Source organism: Homo sapiens, chromosome 12, assembly GCF_000001405.40.
Source record: "Homo sapiens chromosome 12, GRCh38.p14 Primary Assembly".
Taxonomy (NCBI): domain Eukaryota; kingdom Metazoa; phylum Chordata; class Mammalia; order Primates; family Hominidae; genus Homo; species Homo sapiens.
The window spans coordinates 95,469,250-95,488,853 of record NC_000012.12 but is presented as its reverse complement, the minus strand read 5'-3'; the positions used below and the strand labels follow the sequence as shown (position 1 = coordinate 95,488,853).

Sequence of the window (19,604 nt, the reverse complement as noted above, 5' to 3'; positions counted from 1 at the left end):
AAAGTATTAAAAAGAACTGTTTGGGATATCAAATCAAAATAGTATTAGCCTAAGAAGAAACAGATCAGTGGAGCAGAGTAAATAATCCAGAAACTGATTCCATTATATACATGGGAATACAGCATGTGACAAAGGTGGTCATTCAATTCAGTAGGAGGGATTATTTAATAGACAATAAACTGACTCTGCACTGGAAAGAAAAATAAAATAATTAGTGCTCCCAACCTTACACAAAAAATTCCAGATTAAAGATGTAATAACACACAAAATACGTGTTCAAGAAAATCTGAGAGACTACTGGGAACTCAGAAGTATTTTTTTTTTTTTTTTTTTTTTTTTTTTGGTGAGACAAAGTCTCGCTCTGTCACCCAGGGTGTAGTGCAGTGGTGCAATCTCAGCTCACTGCAACCTCCATCTCCTGTGTTCAAGCGATTCTCCTGCCTCAGCCCCCCGAGTAGCTGGGATTACAGGCACGCACCACTGCACCCGGCTAATTTTTTTTATTTTTTTATTTTTAGTAGAGACGGGGTTTTACCATGTTGGCCAGGCTGGTCTTGAACTCCTGACCTTAGGTAATCCACCTGCCTCAGCCTCCCAAAGTGCTAGGATTACAGGCATGAGCCACCATGCCTGGCCGGAACTCAGAAGTATTAAACATGGACACATAATGCATTTAAAAATTTAAAACTTCTGGGAAGAGCAAAAGATATCATAAAGCCTACGATCAAAAGATGCTCGAAATCACTAATAGTATAAGAACTGGAAATTATTAATATATTCTTTGGTTAATCAATCTCACTCCTAAAAACGTATTTCAGAATATAACTACCAGTACATGAGAAAGAGAGAAAAATACCTACATATCCAGCTACCTATTTACCTAAGGAGGTTTATTGCAGAATGGTTTATAGTGGCAAAAATTATTGCAGACAAAGCAAATGGCCATCAGCTAAAGAATGGTGGAATAAAGTGTGGTACACTCACACCACGGAATATTATGAAGCCATTCAAGATAATAATAGAACTATTCTAATTGACTTGGAGGAACTTCCAAGAGTTAGCACTGAATGAGAAAAGGTGGAGGAAAGTGTGCCTATGATTCCATTTTTGTAAAACAAACAATGATCAAACATTCCCTTACATAAACAGACAGATGTATACATATATGAGCATAGAAAAAATATGGAAGGCTACCTGCTAGGTGGTTAACATGGGTCTGGAAGGAAGGAAAAGAAGAGGGAACAAGCAAAAAAAAAAAAAAATTAAGAGATTATATTTAAAAATAAATGTGATCACATCATATGTACTATAAGAATTTATTAATGTAAAATTATCTGTATCTGTGGCATTTTAAAAATAAGTGCTTTTAAGATAGGGACAATTGACGATTTCAAATTCAAAGAAAAGAAGCCCATGTCATACAATTCCAGAACTTTACACTTATTCCCTAAGAACATTCGTAACTGGAAATGAGGGAGCAGGTGGTAATGTAACAACAGTATGTTCTTTCTTTTTTTCTATGTTTTAAAAAAAAAAATGGTGTCTTTACAGGCCAAGAAAACAAGAGCTACAGTAGAAGCTTTCTTAACCAACGACTGCAACCACTGGATTAAGCAATACTCTTAAGTCCCTTTGTAAAACACACTGATCAATGTCCATGGTATTATAAATATTGTGGGTGACAGGTTATTACTTTGAATAACAGGAACTAGCTTGCTTTATGTTCACTATGCATCTACTCTTCTAAGTGCTATGCATATATCATTCCTCACAATGACCCTGCAGAGTGCCCATTTTATGGATGAGGAAATAAAAGCACAGATGTGATAATTACTTGCCCAAGTCACAAAGCTAATAAATGTCAGAACTGGGATTCAAATGCAGATAGTTTGGCCCCAGCTTCCATGCTCTCAATATGTCTTCATAATGCCACTTCTGCTAACCATTTTAAATGTATCCTTACAGAACACCTTGAAGAATCAGGTGAATTTGTTTCCAAGACTATTTAAGTCATCTGTACTTGTTATGGTAATTATGTGATTTAATAATGGTATATTGGCTGGGCGCAGTGGCTCATGCCTGTAATCCCAGCACTTTGGGAGGCCAAGGTGGGCGGATCACCTGAGGTTGGGAGTTCAAGACCAGCCTGATCCACATGGAGGAACCCCGTCTCTATTAAAAATACAAAATTAGCCAGGCATGGTGGTGCATGCGTGTAATCTCAGCTACTCGGGAGGCTGGAGCAGGAGAATCACTTGAACCCGGGAGGCAGAGGTTGCAGTGAGCCGAGATCCCAGCATTGCACTCCAGCCTAGGCAACAAGAGTGAAACTCTGTCTCAAAAAAAAAAAAAGTAACATTAAAAAAACTGTTTCCATGAAAACTAACTACCCTGATAAATCTCACTAAGGATAAGTGATCAAAAAATACTTCTGTCAAATTAAGTGTAGGTAAGAACTATCAAAAGGTTTCAGGAAAAAAAAAGTAAAGATATAGTAGACATCAACCCTTATATCACTCAGAAATCCCAAATGGAATTGTAGATAACGCATTATGAATACATATGAGGGGGGAAAAGTACTAAACCATACCCAAATTTCAAGAGAGGTGAAAAACAAATTTGTTTAAGTTAACCTTTATCTACAAGAATTTTTATTTTGTGATCCTCAGTTTAATATACTTTTTAAATGACCAATAACCTGCTATTGGTCCCAATCATTTTGGATAAGAGGGCTTCTACTGTATCTTCTTTATGACAAATTTATAAGCATTTATTAAAGTAGTGGAGCAAAGTTCTGAGAAATGTCAAATCTGCTTTATTGCTAAGCTATAACTGTCAGAAATTAAACTGGAAGTGATTTGATGATCCTTACCCATCTTGTGTGGGTGGGTATTCGCATTCTTGTCCTTTGGGAAATACACCATTAGGATACAGGTCACATATTGGAACTGAGGGAGGGTCTGTTTGAACTTTTGCTGTGAGATACAAATAAAGCATTAACTTCTGTAGTTAAAAATAAAATTAAGCAGTTATTAGAGTTTTCTCAGTTCCTAATGGTTGTTATATGTTCTGATTTTAAGGAAACTCCTTGCTGCCACAGTTAAAAGCAGAAGACACTTCATCATGCTGGCCACCTCCTCAATGATTTATTGCTGCTTGGGAAAAAGAAATTTTTAACTCCTCAGAACTCCATTATGTATTTAAACAGTATATGCCTTGGCAAAAGGCACACTTCTAATGTCTTCATCTTCACTCACTATACTAGAGATGGAACAGCATAGAGAGGTTGGCTTTCACAAATACAAACCAAAGTAGTAAGAAGTCCTATAGCAATAAAATAAAAATATAAACCTAATATATATTAATAAAATAAGAAAAACTATTATTTCAAGAGTATATAAGGTATAAAAGTTAAAAGCATACATAATCAATCATGGTTTTCTGAAATCGTAACTTTTGTCAAAGTATTTATCACTCCAACTTTATCTCATCTACAAATCTGATAAAGATGCCTTTTATATTGTGCATAAATTACATGACAAGGGACTTAAAAAGATCATTAGAGAAAAAATACACAATTTGTAATCAGAATATCAAAGTTGAAGTCTAGCCTTTACCACTTATTAGCTATGACTTGAACAAATGGCTAAATAGTACCAATCCTCAGTTTCCTCATCTACAAAATGAACGATCAGATGAAATCCTGGATAACCTTCGAAAATTATAATGTATTACATCCAAGTCATTATATAAAACTATGAATTATCTGTAATAATCTGTACTATGGTTATCATTAACTAACATTTATAATTTTCCCACTGTATAGATGAGGAAAATGAGGGCAGTGAACTGCCCATGATTATATTATTTGGCTTGTTACAGAAATGATTCAAGAAGTCTACCAGGATATAAAAAATAAACAAATAAAGAGACATTCAAAGTAAATTAGTAAAAACCAAAACAAGAACATAGAATAGTACCTGAAATGAGGCCAACACAAAAACCACACATTTGGCTCTAAGCCCTTTAGTAGCCAACATTAAAAAAAAATTATTTGCACAGGTCACAATGGTTCTGAGATGAAACAGACTGATACTCAGAAAAAAACACAATTATCCTTGATACTAAGCAGAAAAAAAAAAGAGTACCTCATAAAGAAATATAATGAACAGTACATTCAACAACATCCTCAGAGGAAGCAGAACAAATGTTAATGGCATCATACTTAAAACATCTGTCAGAAGAATTCTGTCAAGGGCAAATATAAAACAGTCCTCTAACAACACTCCTCCCTGCTGGTCTGCCTTCAGAAGGGAGCAATTTAGAGTATTTGAAGAAATAGTTATCTTTTTTTTTTTTTTAATTTAAGAAATAGGTATCTCTTAATTCATTCTCAGGTAACACTATTTCTTATAGCCAAACTTTTAATAATTTTTTTTTAATGGAAAGAATAGGACAATATAGCCCCTGGAAGATTCCTGGAATGCAAGTATCCTGTGCTCATCAAATACAGACTCATGGGCCCTCACAGGCTACGAGAATAGCTGACATCCTCTTCTTAGAGTGGAAGGATCTAGTAATGATGGACGCCTAAATGCAAAGAAGGCTATTCCACCTCCACCTGGAGACCAGGGGAATCACTACCAAGCCCCCAAAATTCTGATTCATAAAATTTTAGCCTGAAAAATTTTAAAGGAAGGCATAACCAGACATTCAGTGGTCTACAACAGCCCAAATGGCATCCAAGATTAAAACTTACATGTTGTGATTCTCAACCCAACCTTTCTTCCTCAACACTACGAAATCTCCCTTCAGCCTCCTTAATATATTTTCGGGCACCTGATGATGTTTGGTTGTGGCACTTACAGAAACTCAAAACAAGCAGGATATTTTATACAAATCTGATCGTACAATATAAAAGTTATTATTAATAATAAAGTCTCACCATATGCACACATCTTAAATAACGGGATTCCTCATTAAATACTCATCAAGAATCTCATAATTTAAAAGCTGGAAGGTAAATTACAAACAACGCTTACCCTACCACCACCATGGCACCACTTCGGCCATTCTTGACAGAATTATTCTTTAAATTATGCAAGTTTTAAATCATAAAATTTTTAGAAACTCATCCCTAACTTGCAGTAAAATGCAACCAATTCATATCGACATCCCTTAGCTAACAGCTAAAGAAAATAAAGGATTGTTAAACCAAAGTTATTAAACTAATAAATAATTATTAGTTTCACTAAATTCTGCTTCTATTAAGCCTAAGTTTATTTCCCTAACATATATCAGGACCTTAAGCAACTTCAAACCTACTCTTCAAACCTGTCAGTGAATAACCACTTCTTTTTTTTTTTTTTTTTTTTTTTGAGACAGAGTCTCACTCTGTTGCCCAGGCTGCAGTGCAGTGGCACAATCTCAGCTTACTGCAATCTCCGTCTCTTGGGTTCCAGCAATTCTCCTGCCTCAGCCTCCGGAGTAGCTGGGATCACAGGTGTGAGCCACCACACCCGACAGAATAAACACTTCTAATATATCAATTAACATTAACTTAAGACACTAACGTCCTCTCTTCTTCTTCTTCTTTTTCTTCTTCTTTCCAGTTGCTCCATCTCCATCGCCATCTCCATCTAAGAAAAGACATTTCAAGTACATGTTCATTTAAACCTCATAAGCAGAGGGACAAAGCAAGTACAAGGAGACAAGTATTTGCTCTATTCAATAAATGAACAAACGTTAGTTTATTTTATCTTGTTTACATTTATTCTTTCACTGAAATAAGAAATAGGAAGCAGCTACCAGGTGTGGTGGCACATGCCTATAGTCCCAGCTACTAGGGAAGCTGAGGTGGGAGGATCACTTGAGCCAAGGAGTTGGAATCCAGCTTGGGCAACATAGTGAGACTCCAACACTAAAAAATTTAGAAACAGGAAGCAGCAGTTTAGCAAAGTGGGAGGTAACGTGATCTAGGACTTACGTGGGTTGAACCATATGAAAATGCCAATACTTGACCATTTTTGGTCAAAATTGCCACTTCTTTTCTTTCTTTTTTTGAAACAGGGTCTAGCTCTGTTGCCCAGGCTGGAGTGCAATGGCGCAATCTCAGCTCACTGCAACCTCCGCCTCCCAGGTTTGAGTGATTCTCATGTCTCAGCCTCCACCTCCCAAGTATCTGGGATTACAGGTGCATGCCACCATGCCCATCTAATTTTTTTTTTTTTTTTTTTTAGTAGAGATGGAGTTTCGCCATGTTGACCAGGCTGGTCTCGAACTCCTGACATCAAGTGATTTGCCAGCCTTGGCCTCCCAAGTCCTGGGATTATAGGCGTGAGCCACTGTACCCAGCCTCAAAATCACCATTTCTTATGTTCAATCTTATGAAATTATCAAAAACCTAGCAGGCAGAAGAGAACAGTAGAAGTACAAATATTAGGCTAGGTAAAGTGGTTCACACCTGTAATCCTAGCACTTTGGGAGGCTGAGGCAGGTGGATCACTTGAGCCCAGGAGTTTGAGACCAGTCTGGAGGACATGGTGAAACCCTGTCTCTACTAAAAGTACAAAAAATTATCCAGGTGTGGTGGTATGCGCCCATAGTCCCAGTTACTTGGAAAGCTGAGATGTGGGAGGATCACCTGAGCCAGGGAAGTCAAGGCTGCAGTGAGCTGAGATCGAGCCACAGCACGTCAGCCTGGGTGACGGGAGGGAGATCTTGTATCCTAACAACAACAAACCCAAAACACAAATATTGCTGACTTATTCATTATGGATTTTTAGATTCAAAAGCCTAACAAAAGGCACACGAAAAATTATAATCTAATTCACATATCGTGCACTGTAACGTTAACAGTAACCTTCTTCACCCCATTAAATGTTTGTTGGGCTCTTAAGTGCCAGGCAATAGGGACAGAAAAATAAGATAGTTTCTGTTCTGGAGAAACAATAGTTTTTTCCAGACTAAAACTGGTTATGAATCTTGAAGTATTTGTTTTAGGTTGTGACTAGTGTATGTAGCACTATACCTAGTGTATGTAGCACAACCTAAAACAAATACTTGAAGATACATCACCAATTTTAAACATATACTAAAAATCTTTCCATCTGGGTGACCTTGGGCAAGTTATTTAGCCTCCCTCTACCCTGGTTTCTTCATCTTTAAAATGGAACAAAAAGGTCCTTCTTTGATACTTTCATCCTTTTGAGGCTAATTACCTTATTCAATGTCCAATGTCTGTATTCAGTACAGAAAAACAGCCACCATTTATAGAACTTTGTGCCAGGATGGCAGCAGAGCCAGGATCTGAGTATTAATCTATATATGTTTATAGTTCCAACCATTATACCATGTTGAAATTTGTGCTTTTACATGTCTTTTCTTCACAGTATCCCAGCATATTCTTCATAGGCAGAGATGGTTGGTTTTTTTGGTTTTTCTGTGACAGGGTCTCACTCTGTTGCCCAAGCTGGAGTGCAGTGGCAGGATCACAGCTCACTGCAGCCTCAATCTCCCAGACTCAGGAAATCCTCCCACCTCAGCTTCCTGAATAGCTGAGACTACAGGCACGCACCACTATACCTGGCTAATGTTTTTTAATCTTTTGCAGAGACAAGGTCTAAGTTGCCCAGACTGGTCTCGAATCGCATCTCAGCCTCCCAAAGTGCTGGGATTATAGGCATGAGCCACCAGGCCTGGCCAGCAGAGGCTGCTTATGTTTATTTGTGTTACTACTATGCCCAAATCAGTTGATATCTGTTGAATGACAACTGGAAATCATATTTTAAAAAAAAGAGTCTCAAGCTTTTAAGCTCTGCCTTGCACTATCTAGAAACATTAATTCTAAATGAACCATAGACCTAAACATAACAGCTAAAAATATATAAAACTTCTTGAAGAGAACACAGAACATCTTTGTGACCTTAGAGACAGCAATGACTTAACTTTTTAGACAGGACACAAAAAGCACTACCCATAAATTTAAAAAACAGATAGATTGGACTTTATCAAAATTAAAACTGTCCTATAAGCAATACCATTAACCAGGTGAATAGCCATCCCATAGAAATATCTGTAAAACATATTATCTGATAAAGAACTTGCAACCAGAATATACAATGAACTATTACAATTCAATAGGATGACAAATAACCCAATAAAACATGGACAAAAAATGTGAACAAACACTTTACCAAAGATAAAGGAAAAAGCAAATAAAAACATGAAAAGATGCTCAATATCATTAGGGAAGTGCATATTAAAACCACAATGACAAAGCACTACATACCCATTATCAAAGACTAAAATTTTAAAACAAATACCAAGTCCTTACAAGGATACGAACAACCTGAAACTCTCAACCATTGCTAAGAGGAATGCAAAACAGCATAGCCACTTTGGAAACCAGACAGCTTCTTAGGAGTTTAAACACATACTTACCATATGACAGGCAACCCAGTCCTATTTACTCAAGAGAAATGAAAACATATCTACACATAGACCCATATGCAAATGTTCATAGTAACTTCGTTCACAACAGACCAAAACTGTAAACACCCCAAATATTGTTCAATGTAAAAGGGTAAAACATATTAGGAATACTACTTGCAATAAAAAGGAATGTGCTATTGATAAATGCACAACTCGATGACTGTCAAAAGTATTATGCTAAGTAAAACAAGCCAAACACAAAAAACTACATACCGAATAATTCCATTTATAGGATACTCCAGGAAAGGCCAAAACTAGGGTCAGAAAACGTATCAGTGATTGCTAAGGGTTAGGTATAGTGCAAGAGAACCAACTACAAGAGACACAACTTTTTTCTGGAGATGGAAATGTTAAATGGAAATAGTCTGTATCTTCCGTCGTGGTAGTAGTTACACAATTGCATACTTTGTCAAAACTCACCAAACTATACACTTAAAAAGGATGACTATTGGGGCCAGGTATGGTGGCTCACGCCTGTAATCCCAGCACTTTGGGAGGCTGAGGCGGGCGGATCACTTGAGGCCAGGAGTTCGAGACCAGCCTGGCCAACATGGTGAAACCCTGTCTCTACTAAAAATACAAAAATTAGCTGGGAGTGGTGGCGGGCACCTGTAATCCCAGCCACTCAGGAGGCTGAGGCAGGAGAATCGCTGGAACCCGGAAGGCAGAGGTTGCAGTGAGCTGAGATCGTGCCACTGCACTGCAGCCTGGACAAGAGTGAGACTCCGTCTCAAAAAAAAAAAAAAAGAGTGGTGACTATTATTTTAGGGAAATTATATGTTAATGAGCCTGACTCAAAATGTATTGAATGAATTACCTCCAGCACACTGTCAGATGACCACAGGATCAACTTTTTATACCAATACCACAGTTTCCAATTCAGCACATCTAAAATTAAACTTAGTACCCTCTTCTTTGCCTGCAAACCTCTCCCCCAATGTCTAACTGGCTCTTTCCCAACTTCACTATTTCAGTCAACAGCACCAACATTCTGTCACCCAAGTGCAAACTCCCAGAGTCCACTAATGCCTTACTCCTGCTCCCAGAATGCAAGTCTCCAAGTCTTTTGAATTCTGCTTCCACACTACTGTTCACTGGATCCTTCCTCTCCATGCCTATTTATGACTATCAGTTTACATCTTCATTACCATATGCCTGGGCTATTTCTAAGAGGCCTCCAAAATGATCTCCTCCTTGCCTTTCCTACACACTTCCTCTCCTCTAAACAACCCTGTATACAGGTAAAGCCTAAATTATTATTTCATAACATTCCTTTTTTGTTAAGAGACAGGGTCTTACTATGTTACCCAGGTTGGAGTGCAGTGGCCAGTCACAGGTGTTTTCGTAGCATACTGAAGCCCCCTGGACTCAAAGATCCTCCCATCCCAGCCTCCCAAGTAGCTGGGATTACAGGCACCAGCCACTGTGCTTGGCTCATAACATTTCTTAAAAATCCTCTAAGGCTCCCTCAATCTATCACCTCATATGGCAAGCTTGTATTACCACAATGCTTCAAATGTTTTCTCAGCATTACCCCAACCCAAAATAGTTCCTTTGTTTGGTTTTACTCAAGTTCTATTCCTTCCAATGAGCCTTCCTTCGGCATTCAGCCCACACTTATACCACCAAATTTCAATAAATTTTATTACAGGTACCCAAATACCTTTTCACTTCTAGGTTTTGTCTGTCTACCACATCCTTAGTTTTCTTTATTTTTTCTTATTTTTTGAGACAGAGTTTCACTTTTGTTGCCCAGGCTAAAGTGCAATGGCGCAACCTCCACTGACAGCAACCTCCACCTCCTGGGTTCAAGCAATTTTCCTGCCTCAGCCTCCCGAGTAGCTGGGATTACAGGCACCCACCACCACACCTGGCTAATTTTTTGTATTTTTAGTAGAGATGGGGTTTCACCATGTTGGTAAGGCTGGTTTTGAACTCCTGACCTCAGGTGATCCACCCACCTCAGCCTCCCAAAATGCTGGGATTACAGGCGAGAGCTAACACACCTGGTCTAGTTTTCCATTAGGAGAAAGATCTTGAAACACTAGCTTTCCATTCCCTCAAAGACCTAACAACAGGTAAGTAGTATTGACTGACTCTGATTACTGAAATAACTACAAATATTCCTAAAATCTTCTTTAATACATTGAAGATTTCCAACCTGATGGGCAACTTTGTAGAGATGTAACAGAACAAGATAACACTTCAAGATTAGCACTGTGATTTTTTTTGGGGGGTGGGGGGAGGTGGACGGGTATAGACATAGGGTCTCACTATGTTGCCCAGGCTTGTCTGGATTACAGGCATAAGCCACCACACCCAGCCAATATTTTTTAACTAGCCTGACAGGCCCAGGAAGCATTATGATACCATATACACAGTGGGTCTATAGCAATCTATTATATTGCCTTGAATTTACAAAACATTTTCTTGTGAAGAGCTCAAAATAAGTTCATAATCTAAAGCATAAGCCAATGTAGAACAGAGGTTTAAGGAAGAGGAAAAGCTAGTAATTCCCTTGAATCTTGGCACTTTTTTCCACCAAATGTTCACTATAAGCTTCTTGAAGGCAGAGAACATACCACTCTAAAGGAAAACAACTACTCTACATTACCCTAACACAATAATTACAGCCCCAACTAATGGTTAAAGACCTAACCCCAGGCTGGTGGTGCTTGAGGGGGAGCAGATGTTCTCAGTAGTAGGCAGCTACAAATAAAAAGAATGGGAAAGCCCCATTTTTCCTCCGCCAAAAGAGGCTGGAAAAAAGTTAAGTTTTCTTACCTGTCTCTTCCTTCACTGTTTTACTGATAACATCAATTAGCAGTTGCTGTCTTTAAAAAAATCTTATTGTACCCAAACACCCAGAAGGAGCTAGGGTCAAGGAATTTATAATAAAACTTAGTGCACTCCTATACGATTCTTTCAGAATGAAAAGAGTTAATTTTGGTATAGAGAGTAAAAGGAACAGGCCGGACACAGTAGCTCAAACCTGTAATCCCAGCACCTTGGGAGGCTGAGGTGGGCAGATTACTTGAGGTCAGGAGTTCAAGACCAACCTGGCAAAACCCCATTTCTACTAAAGATACAAAAAAATTAGTTGGGCATGGTGGCAGGCGCCTGTAATCCCAGCTACTCGGGAGGCTGAGGCAGGAGAATTGCTTGAGCTCGGGAGGTCGCAGTGATCCGAGATCACGCCACTGCACTCCAGCCTGTGCGACAGAGCGAGACTCGGTCTCAAAAAGAAAAAAAAAAATAGAGAGTAAAAGGAACAAACGTGCAGTCAGGCACTAGGTTTGAAATTCTGGCTCTATTCTACACATATTAGCTATGTCACTTTGGGTAAATCATGTAACTACCACTTCCCTATCTGTAAAATGAGATGGCTGGGTAAAGCCATGAAGGGCTGGGTAAAGTCAAAATAAATAGGAAAAGACAGTCCATTACCAAAAAACAAAATGGATATCTAAGCACAAGTAGGTTACTTTGCTTGGTTTTGTGAGGTTAAAATGTGAATGTATGTGAAAATAACCTAGGAAAGTATCTAGTACATAGTAGTTCTTCAGTAAGTATTAGTTAAATAAACAACCCCTCAATCTTATTAATACTCACTACTTTGCCTTCTACCAAGTATATTTTTAAACTCTGAGATCTGTCCTATCTGAACAGCTAATTAACACATTGAACTTTTTCAAGACTTGCTAATAAATACCTTTTCCTTTTTAATCTGTGACATTAATTGAGGTAACAAGTGAAATGTCAGAGAAAACACTATACGAGTAAATAAATTTTGATTAAGGAATATCACATTTTCTAGCTTTTCTTTCTTTCTTTCTTTCTTTCTTTTTTTTGAGACAGTCTTACTCTGCTGGCCAGGCTGGAGTGCAGTGGTGCAATCTCAGCTCACTGCAACCTCCATCTCTCGGGCTCAAGCAATTCTCCTGCCTCAGCTTCCCAAGTTGTTGGGATTACAGGTGTGTGCTACCACACCCGGCTAAATTTTTTTTTGTCTTTTTAGAAGAGATGGGGTTTCAACATGTTGGCCAGGCTGGTCTCGAACTACTGACCTTATGTAATCCACCCGCCTCGACCTCCCAAAGTGCTGGGATTACAGGTGTGTGCCACCACACCCGGCTACATTTTCTAGCTTTTCTAACCACAAAGATCAAATTAACCATTTACCTTCATCATCTTCATCTCTTTCTTTATCTTCCAATGCTGATCTTTCCAACTGTCTTGCTACTTCATCCACTGAGGCTCCTGATTCTTTATCAGGTTCCTGTTCCCCTGCTGATCAAAATAAAATAGCAGAAATCAAATCTAATACAGACACTTTCCCACTAGAATATGCTCTAATGATCTTGGAAAACTTACAAATCCTTTCCTCAGGAAACAAAAACAGAAACATTATTGTGAACATAACAGAATTCGTTTAATGACAGAAAAATCTTCCATACCTACACAGTATTGTCCATTCATTAATTTACTCAACAAAATATCCATTACACACACTAGCAGCTAAAAGATAAACAGCGTGAACTGGTCTCTATCCTCAAGTAGTTTAACTTGTAATAGTGGTCAGCAATTAGACTTAACAAATACTTAAACACCAGATAGGTAATAAATGCTGAAGGCCTTAGGAAAAAGATTCATGTGCAACACCCCGGGGCAGCCTGGTTTCATGAATAAGGATATCACGATGGGCTGGGTAAAGTCAAAATAAATAGGCAAAGACAGTCCATTACTAAAAAACTAAAACGCTCAAATATCTAAGCACAAGACCAGGCCCCTGCTCTGGAAGTGATTATAACCTACCTATAAGAGCAATATGTTACATGCATTAATAGTATCAGGTAGCACGAAATGAAGTGACATTCTGGCTACTGGAGAGAATTCATATTAAGAAATACAACTGTTAAAAATACATTAGGATCAGTCAGCTTAACACCTTACAAGACAAACAGCAGTGTTTGAATTTCACTCGAAATCCAGGAACAGCCACCAGAGTAACAAATTTTGCTCTGGAAGAGTTCCAGCAACGCTACAACTCTCCTTCCATTCCTATCTAATCAAAATTTCAGAAAGATGAAGATTAGCTCTCTTCGACCTCTCTCAATTCCATCTTAATCGCTTCTGACTTCTCCATTTTCTGTTTCTCTGGCGATTTTAATTAGAAACAAGTAAAAATAATTTTTATTAAGGTGAAGGAGCTTGTGCAGCAAAAACACAGACTTCTCAAAATATGTAAGTTCCTAGTTCATAATATCCAACTGTAAACTCTCAGCAGTTCTCCTTGCCTTACCAGTGGATTTAGAGGTTAAGACCTCAGAAGTTCCATTCTGAGCCACAGAATATCCTATCTGCACTGCCTGCAATTGGTATCATAATTCAGGTCTAAAGGCCCTAAAGCTTGGCGATGCTATGGGATTAGGCAGGTGAAAATTCGTTATCACCACCACAAATTCTGCAATTAATGACATGAGCGCGCGGGCAAACACACATGTACACACACCCCAAAAGTGCAGGCTGCAACAACCCCAACGTGAAACGGGATAGTGGGAGGAGGTGTGCTCTCCATTACATTTGCCCACCCCCAAAGAAAATAAGTCCTAGCTTGCTCCAGCAAACCAGCAAAGACGCGGCAATACGGATCAGAATCGGATTTTTGAGGCGGCGGCCAAATCGCGCGAAAGATGGTAGGGCTGTGCTCTGCGCACAATCTCAAGACCGTGCCACGATGTGCGTGGGAGCTGAGTTCTGGTAATACAGGGGCTCGGGCCCAGCGACCCCAGAGGTACCACACGCCAACCTCAGGCACTCTTTTCTCCCCCACCAGCCCTCTAGTCCCACAGGAGGAGATGACGCCTCTTCTCAGACTAGGAATCTATAGCCCGGCTTTGCCACCCTGTCAGGCCCAAGAATCAGTCTAGTCGGGGCTCTGGGGCCCCGGTCCCGGCCCCCTCAACGGGCCTGAGCCAAACAGTTCAGCCGTTCCCGGAGGGGACTGGGAAAACATAAAACTCTCTTTACCTGCAGAAGGCCCTTTGCTCTTCTTCTTCTTTCGTCTTTTTTTCTTGGCTGCTTCCTCAGCCGTAGAGGCAGCTCCTTCTTCCCTGTCGTCTGGATCCAGGTCGCCATTCAGGTGGCTCCCGGAGGCCGCTACCTCCTCCACACCCGCCATGTTGCCCGAGAGAGCGCGAGGGAATGAGACAGAGCGGCGAGGGCCCCGATCCTTCTCCACCCGCCTACACCAGCCACGCCGGAAGCTGCTCTCGATGGTAGGGACGCAGGGAATGCTGGGACGGCGGAGGACTCAGCTGAGGGTGTCGGGCTAGCTTCGGGCCGGGCGTGCAGGAGTCTCGGCTTGGAGCCCCGCCTGGCTGGAGTCGACTGGGGCCAGACCCGACTGCTTCGTCCGGTGCCTCGGGCATTCCCGAAGCAAATCGGCAAGCGCAGGGTGAAGTTTAAAGGGGAAGTTGAGCTCTAGAGTCAGCCGGAGATACCTGTGGAGACGGGCAACCCGCCGTAGCAAGCGGCGTCTCTGCTGGAACGGAAATATTTTATATTTGCGTTTTTATAAATCACACAGGCAGTGGGGAAACGGGCTAAGAAATGTGTTCACTTGTACACATTTCTATTGTCATGACTCCACATATCTCTTAAATCTAAGAGATTTAATCAAATCTGCGTTGACATTCACAATCACAGCTCTCCGCGAGGCTCTGTAGGCACTGGAGAGAATTTTGGAAGCTGGAGTTCCGTGTTAGTTTATTGTACTACTCAACCCCGGACGGTTCAAGATGGGAACCCGTCACACTCCGCTCACTTTCCAATTCAGGACAAGAATGACAGGTTTTAACACACGGGGACACGGTCTCTCTCATTAATGCAAAAGATCACACTCCGTTTTCTCTATTTCTGGTCACCTTTCTTTTGGATTTAGGACGTTTCACCAGAAACTAATTGAATTTTGCCCATTTCTTTACTTCTTATGTTTTGAGCCTCATGTTCAAACCGCAGTTTGAGATTTAGTTTGTGGCGTAAGTGGATTGTGATTGGCTGCCTGCACCAACTCCTTCTCAATTTCTCCTGAATATGGCTTTGTCCACCTGGAGAGTTTAGGTGTTTTCATTAGTTTTAAACTAGGCACCAAGCTTCATGGGCATCAAAATGTCGTTAAGAGCCTTATTGCCAGTGAGTTTACAGTAAACCTCACACAGGCTCTGACTGCAGCTGCATAAATGTACATTCTCTGTCTTAAAGCTTCAGGCAGCACCTATCCAATAGTAATAAAAACTGTTCCTCTTATTCTTGTACAGATCTTTATCTCTTTAAATCTATCCCTATTTAGATTTTAAATTGTTTTCCCTAGTTGATTGCTGGCAATATAAAAGTTGGTAAACCGGCCGGGCGCTGTGGCTCACGCCTGTAATCCCAGCACTTTGGGAGGGCGAGGTGGGCAGATCACAAGGTCAGGAGTTCGAGACCAGCCTGGCCAATATGGTGAAACCCCGTCTCCACTAAAAATACAAAAATTAGCCGGGCGTGGTGGCAGGCGCCTGTAGTCCCAGCTACTAGGGAGGCTGAGGCAGGACAATCGCTTGAACCCCGGGGGAGGTTGCAGTGAGCTGAGATTGCGCCACTGCACTCCAGCCTGGGCGACAGAGCGAGACTCCATCCCCCCCAAAAAAGTAAATAAAATAAAAAATAAAAAGTTGGTAAACCAAACATAATACCACAAAAATAAAAATAGAAGTAGCTTCCATGTGTCCAAAATCCTTTAAAATGCCCGGCAAGACCCAGCCATATCTACTTCTCCAATGTCTCCACTCTCTTACTATTATAGCTCCAGCTCTCAAAGCTCTTTCTGACCTTGGAGCATTTCAAACTCACTGTTACTTTTATCTGGGCTGCTCTTTGCTTGGCTGACATATTCACTTATTCACTCATCCATCCATTCGTTCAATGCCTACTATAAACCTAGATCTGGCAATATTTAGAGAGCAAAAACAGAGATGATCCTTGTCATCATAGAGCCAGTTAACAAAAATAGACATCAAGCAATGATGCTAATAAAAGCAAATTTACAACTGCTGCTATGAGAGCATATTACAAAGGGACTTGCCTAGGTAGGATGGCCTGGTAGAGTTTCCTGAGGAAGTAGCAATTAGGCTGAGATCTGAAGGATAAATAGGCAAAGGGGAGGGGAAAGGTTTAGAGAGAGTATTTTTTTTTTTTTGAGACGGAGTCTCGTTCTATCACCCAGGTTGGAGTGCAGTGGCCTGATCTTAGCTCACTGCAACCTCCGCCTCCCAGGTTCAAGCGATTCTCCTACCTCAGCCTCCCAAGTAGCTGGGATTACAGGCGCCCACCACCACACCCAGCTAATTTTTGTAGAGACGGGGTTTTACCATGTTGGCCAGGCTGGTCTCAAACTCCTGACCTCAGGTGATCCACCTGCCTCAACCTCCCAAAGTGTTGGGATTACAGGCATGAGCCATTGCGCCTGGCAGAGTATTCTTGGCAAAGGGAAGGTAAAGAAAAATTTAAGAGGTATTTAAGAGGAGACATGGATTCTAATACTAGAATGGTCATTTGGCTATAATTTTGTGACTCTGGACAGCCCATATATTTTTGAGCCTTGATTTTCTCATCTGTAAAACAGTAGGGAGTATAACACATTTAAAGAACTAAAAAACATCCAGAATGGCTGGAATGCAAAGAGGTGGAGAAGGGAGTGAGTGTGATGAGATGAGACTAGAAAGGTAAGAGCCTTGCAGGAAGGAAAGGGTAGGAGAGCTGACAGAGCCTTTTAGATCATACTAAGGGCTTTATACTTTGTCCTAAGAACAATATAAAACTCTTAAGTATTTTATTTTACTTTTTTTATTTATTTTTCAGACAGGGTCTCATTCTGTTGCTCAGGCTGGAATGCAGTGGCGTGATGTCAGCTCACTGCAACCTCTACCTCCTGGGTTCAAGCAATTATCCCACCTCAGTCTCCCAAGTAGCTGGGACTACAGGCACATGCCACCACACCCAGCTAATTTTTGTATATTTTGGTAGAGACAGGGTTTCACCATGTTGGTCAGGCTGGTCTCAAACTCCTGACTTCAGGTGATCCACCTACCTCCCTTAAGTATTTTATTTTTATTTTTTATTTTTTTCTGAGATGGAGTCTTGCTCTGTCGCCCAGGCTGGAGTGCAGTGGTATGATCTCGGCTCACTGCAACCTCCGCCTCCCGGATTCAAGCAATTCTTCCACCTCAGCCTCCCGAGTAGCTGGGACTACAGGTACGCGCCACCACACCCAGTTAATTTTTGTATTTTTAGTAGAGACGGGGTTTCACCATGTTGGCCAGGCTGGTCTCAAACTCCTGGCCTCAGGTGATCCGCCCTCCTCAGCCTCCCAAAGTGCTGGGATTATAGGCATGAGCCACTGTGTCCAGCCCCCTTAAGTATTTTAATGGTGAGGAGACAGTTAACCTGATGAGAGTTGCAATTAACATGATTAGATTTTTGAAAAGATCACCATGGCTGCAGTGTACAGAGTAGAGTTGAGGGTGGCCAGAATGAAAGCAGGGAGATCAGTTTAGAGGCTATTACAGTCAATAGGTTATAGTGGCTTGAAAGGGAATGATGATGGGTATGACCAAAAAAATGAATAGATTTAAGAGATATGTGGGAGATAAAATGGGCAAGACTTGGTGATGAATTGTATAAGGGATTTGAGAGAGAAGAAGATATCAAGGAATCCCCTTCGGTGTGTGCTGGTGAAACTGGATTGACTGGTAATGTAATGTAAATAACAGAGATAGAAAAACATTTCAGATTTGAAAGGGAAGATTATGAGTTAGATGTGAGACATGCTGAGTCTGAGGTGTCTTGGGGCATTAAAGTGGAGCTGTGAAGAAGGTGGATAACTATAAGGAACTGGAGATCAAAAGAATAGTTGGAGCAGATATAAAAATTTGAGTCATCAACTAATAGATGGGAATTGGAACTTTGACACAGATAAGATCATCCAGCAAGTGGATCTAGACATGAGAGTCTACCTGTACTGCACAGCATGGTGGCCACCTACCACGTTGCCACTGAGCACTTAAAATGCTGCTAGTTCAGGCCGGGCGCGGTGGCTCACGCCTGTAATCCCAGCACTTTGGGAGGCCGAGGCAGGCGGATCATGAGGTCAGGAGATCGAGACCATCCCGGCTAACAAGGTGAAACCCTGTCTCTACTAAAAATACAAAAAATTAGCCAGGCGTGGTGGTGTGCACCTGTAGTCCCAGCTACTCGGGAGGCTGAGGCAGGAGAATGGCGTGAACCCAGGAGATGGAGCTTGCAGTGAGCGGAAATGGTGCCACTGCACTCCAGCCTGGGCGACAGAGCAACACTCCATCTCAAAAAAAAAAAAAAAAATGCTGCTAGTCCAAATTGAGTTATGCCATAATTTAGAATACACACTGAATTACAAAAACTTAATACAAAAATACTAAAGTTTCTCAATAATGTTATATTTATTGTTGAAATGATAATTTTTATATAGAGTTAAATAAAAACATCATTAAGATTGATTGTTACCTGTTTCTTTTTACTTTTTAAAATGTGGCTACTAGAAAATTTAAAATTACGTGAGTGACTATTGGAAATGTAAATTGTCAACCTTAAAAAAAAGACACTAGAGGCTAGGCATGGTTTCTCACACCTGTAATCCCAGCACTCCAGGAAGATCACTTGAAGCCAGGAGTCAGAGACCAGCCTGGGTTACCAAGCAAGACCCCCTCTCTACAAGGAATTAAAAAATTATCTGGGCGTGGTGGCATGTGCCTGTAGTCCCAGCTACTCGGAGGCTAAGGTGGGAGGATTGCTTGACCCAGGGGAAGTCAAGGCTGCCATGAATTATGATCACACTGTCACAGAAGGGCTGGGCTCCCAGCTAAACCCCACCCTTAAGCCTGGAACCATGGCCCTAAGTGAAAACAGCTGACCCCATTTTTCTGCCCAAATGTTGCTTTTTTGGCCTGCCCCACCCCATCCTGTGCCCATGAAAGACTTAAGCTGGCAAAGCAACATAAGCGGCTGAGCGTCGGGAACACGAGCGGCTGAGTGGC

General features: G+C 40.9%; 1 protein-coding gene across 5 annotated transcripts in view, besides 1 other annotated feature; it reads right to left on the bottom strand.

The window, feature by feature from the left end:
- METAP2 (methionyl aminopeptidase 2) overlaps positions 1-14,702 on the bottom strand; it is a 41,688-nt gene extending 26,986 nt beyond the window's left edge. For 2 of the 5 annotated variants that reach the window (NR_133673.2, NM_006838.4), the window contains exons 1-4: positions 14,524-14,702; positions 12,676-12,783; positions 5,574-5,639; positions 2,873-2,975 (exon numbers count right to left, since the gene is read on the bottom strand). Coding sequence is in view for 4 of the 5 variants with exons in the window: in NM_006838.4 (NP_006829.1) it covers positions 2,873-2,975; positions 5,574-5,639; positions 12,676-12,783; positions 14,524-14,674 (428 nt within the window). In the remaining variant the exon portion in view is untranslated. The remainder of the gene's footprint in view (positions 1-2,872; positions 2,976-5,573; positions 5,640-12,675; positions 12,784-14,523) is intronic. The other 3 variants (NM_001317182.2, NM_001330246.2, NM_001317183.2) reach the window with 3 other exon arrangements.
- Positions 14,486-14,885: an enhancer, noted in NCBI's record as "active region_6810". NCBI's record gives its function as "activates an Ori minimal core promoter by ATAC-STARR-seq in GM12878 lymphoblastoid cells {active_cell/tissue: GM12878}" and the evidence as "EXISTENCE:reporter gene assay evidence [ECO:0000049][PMID:35858748]".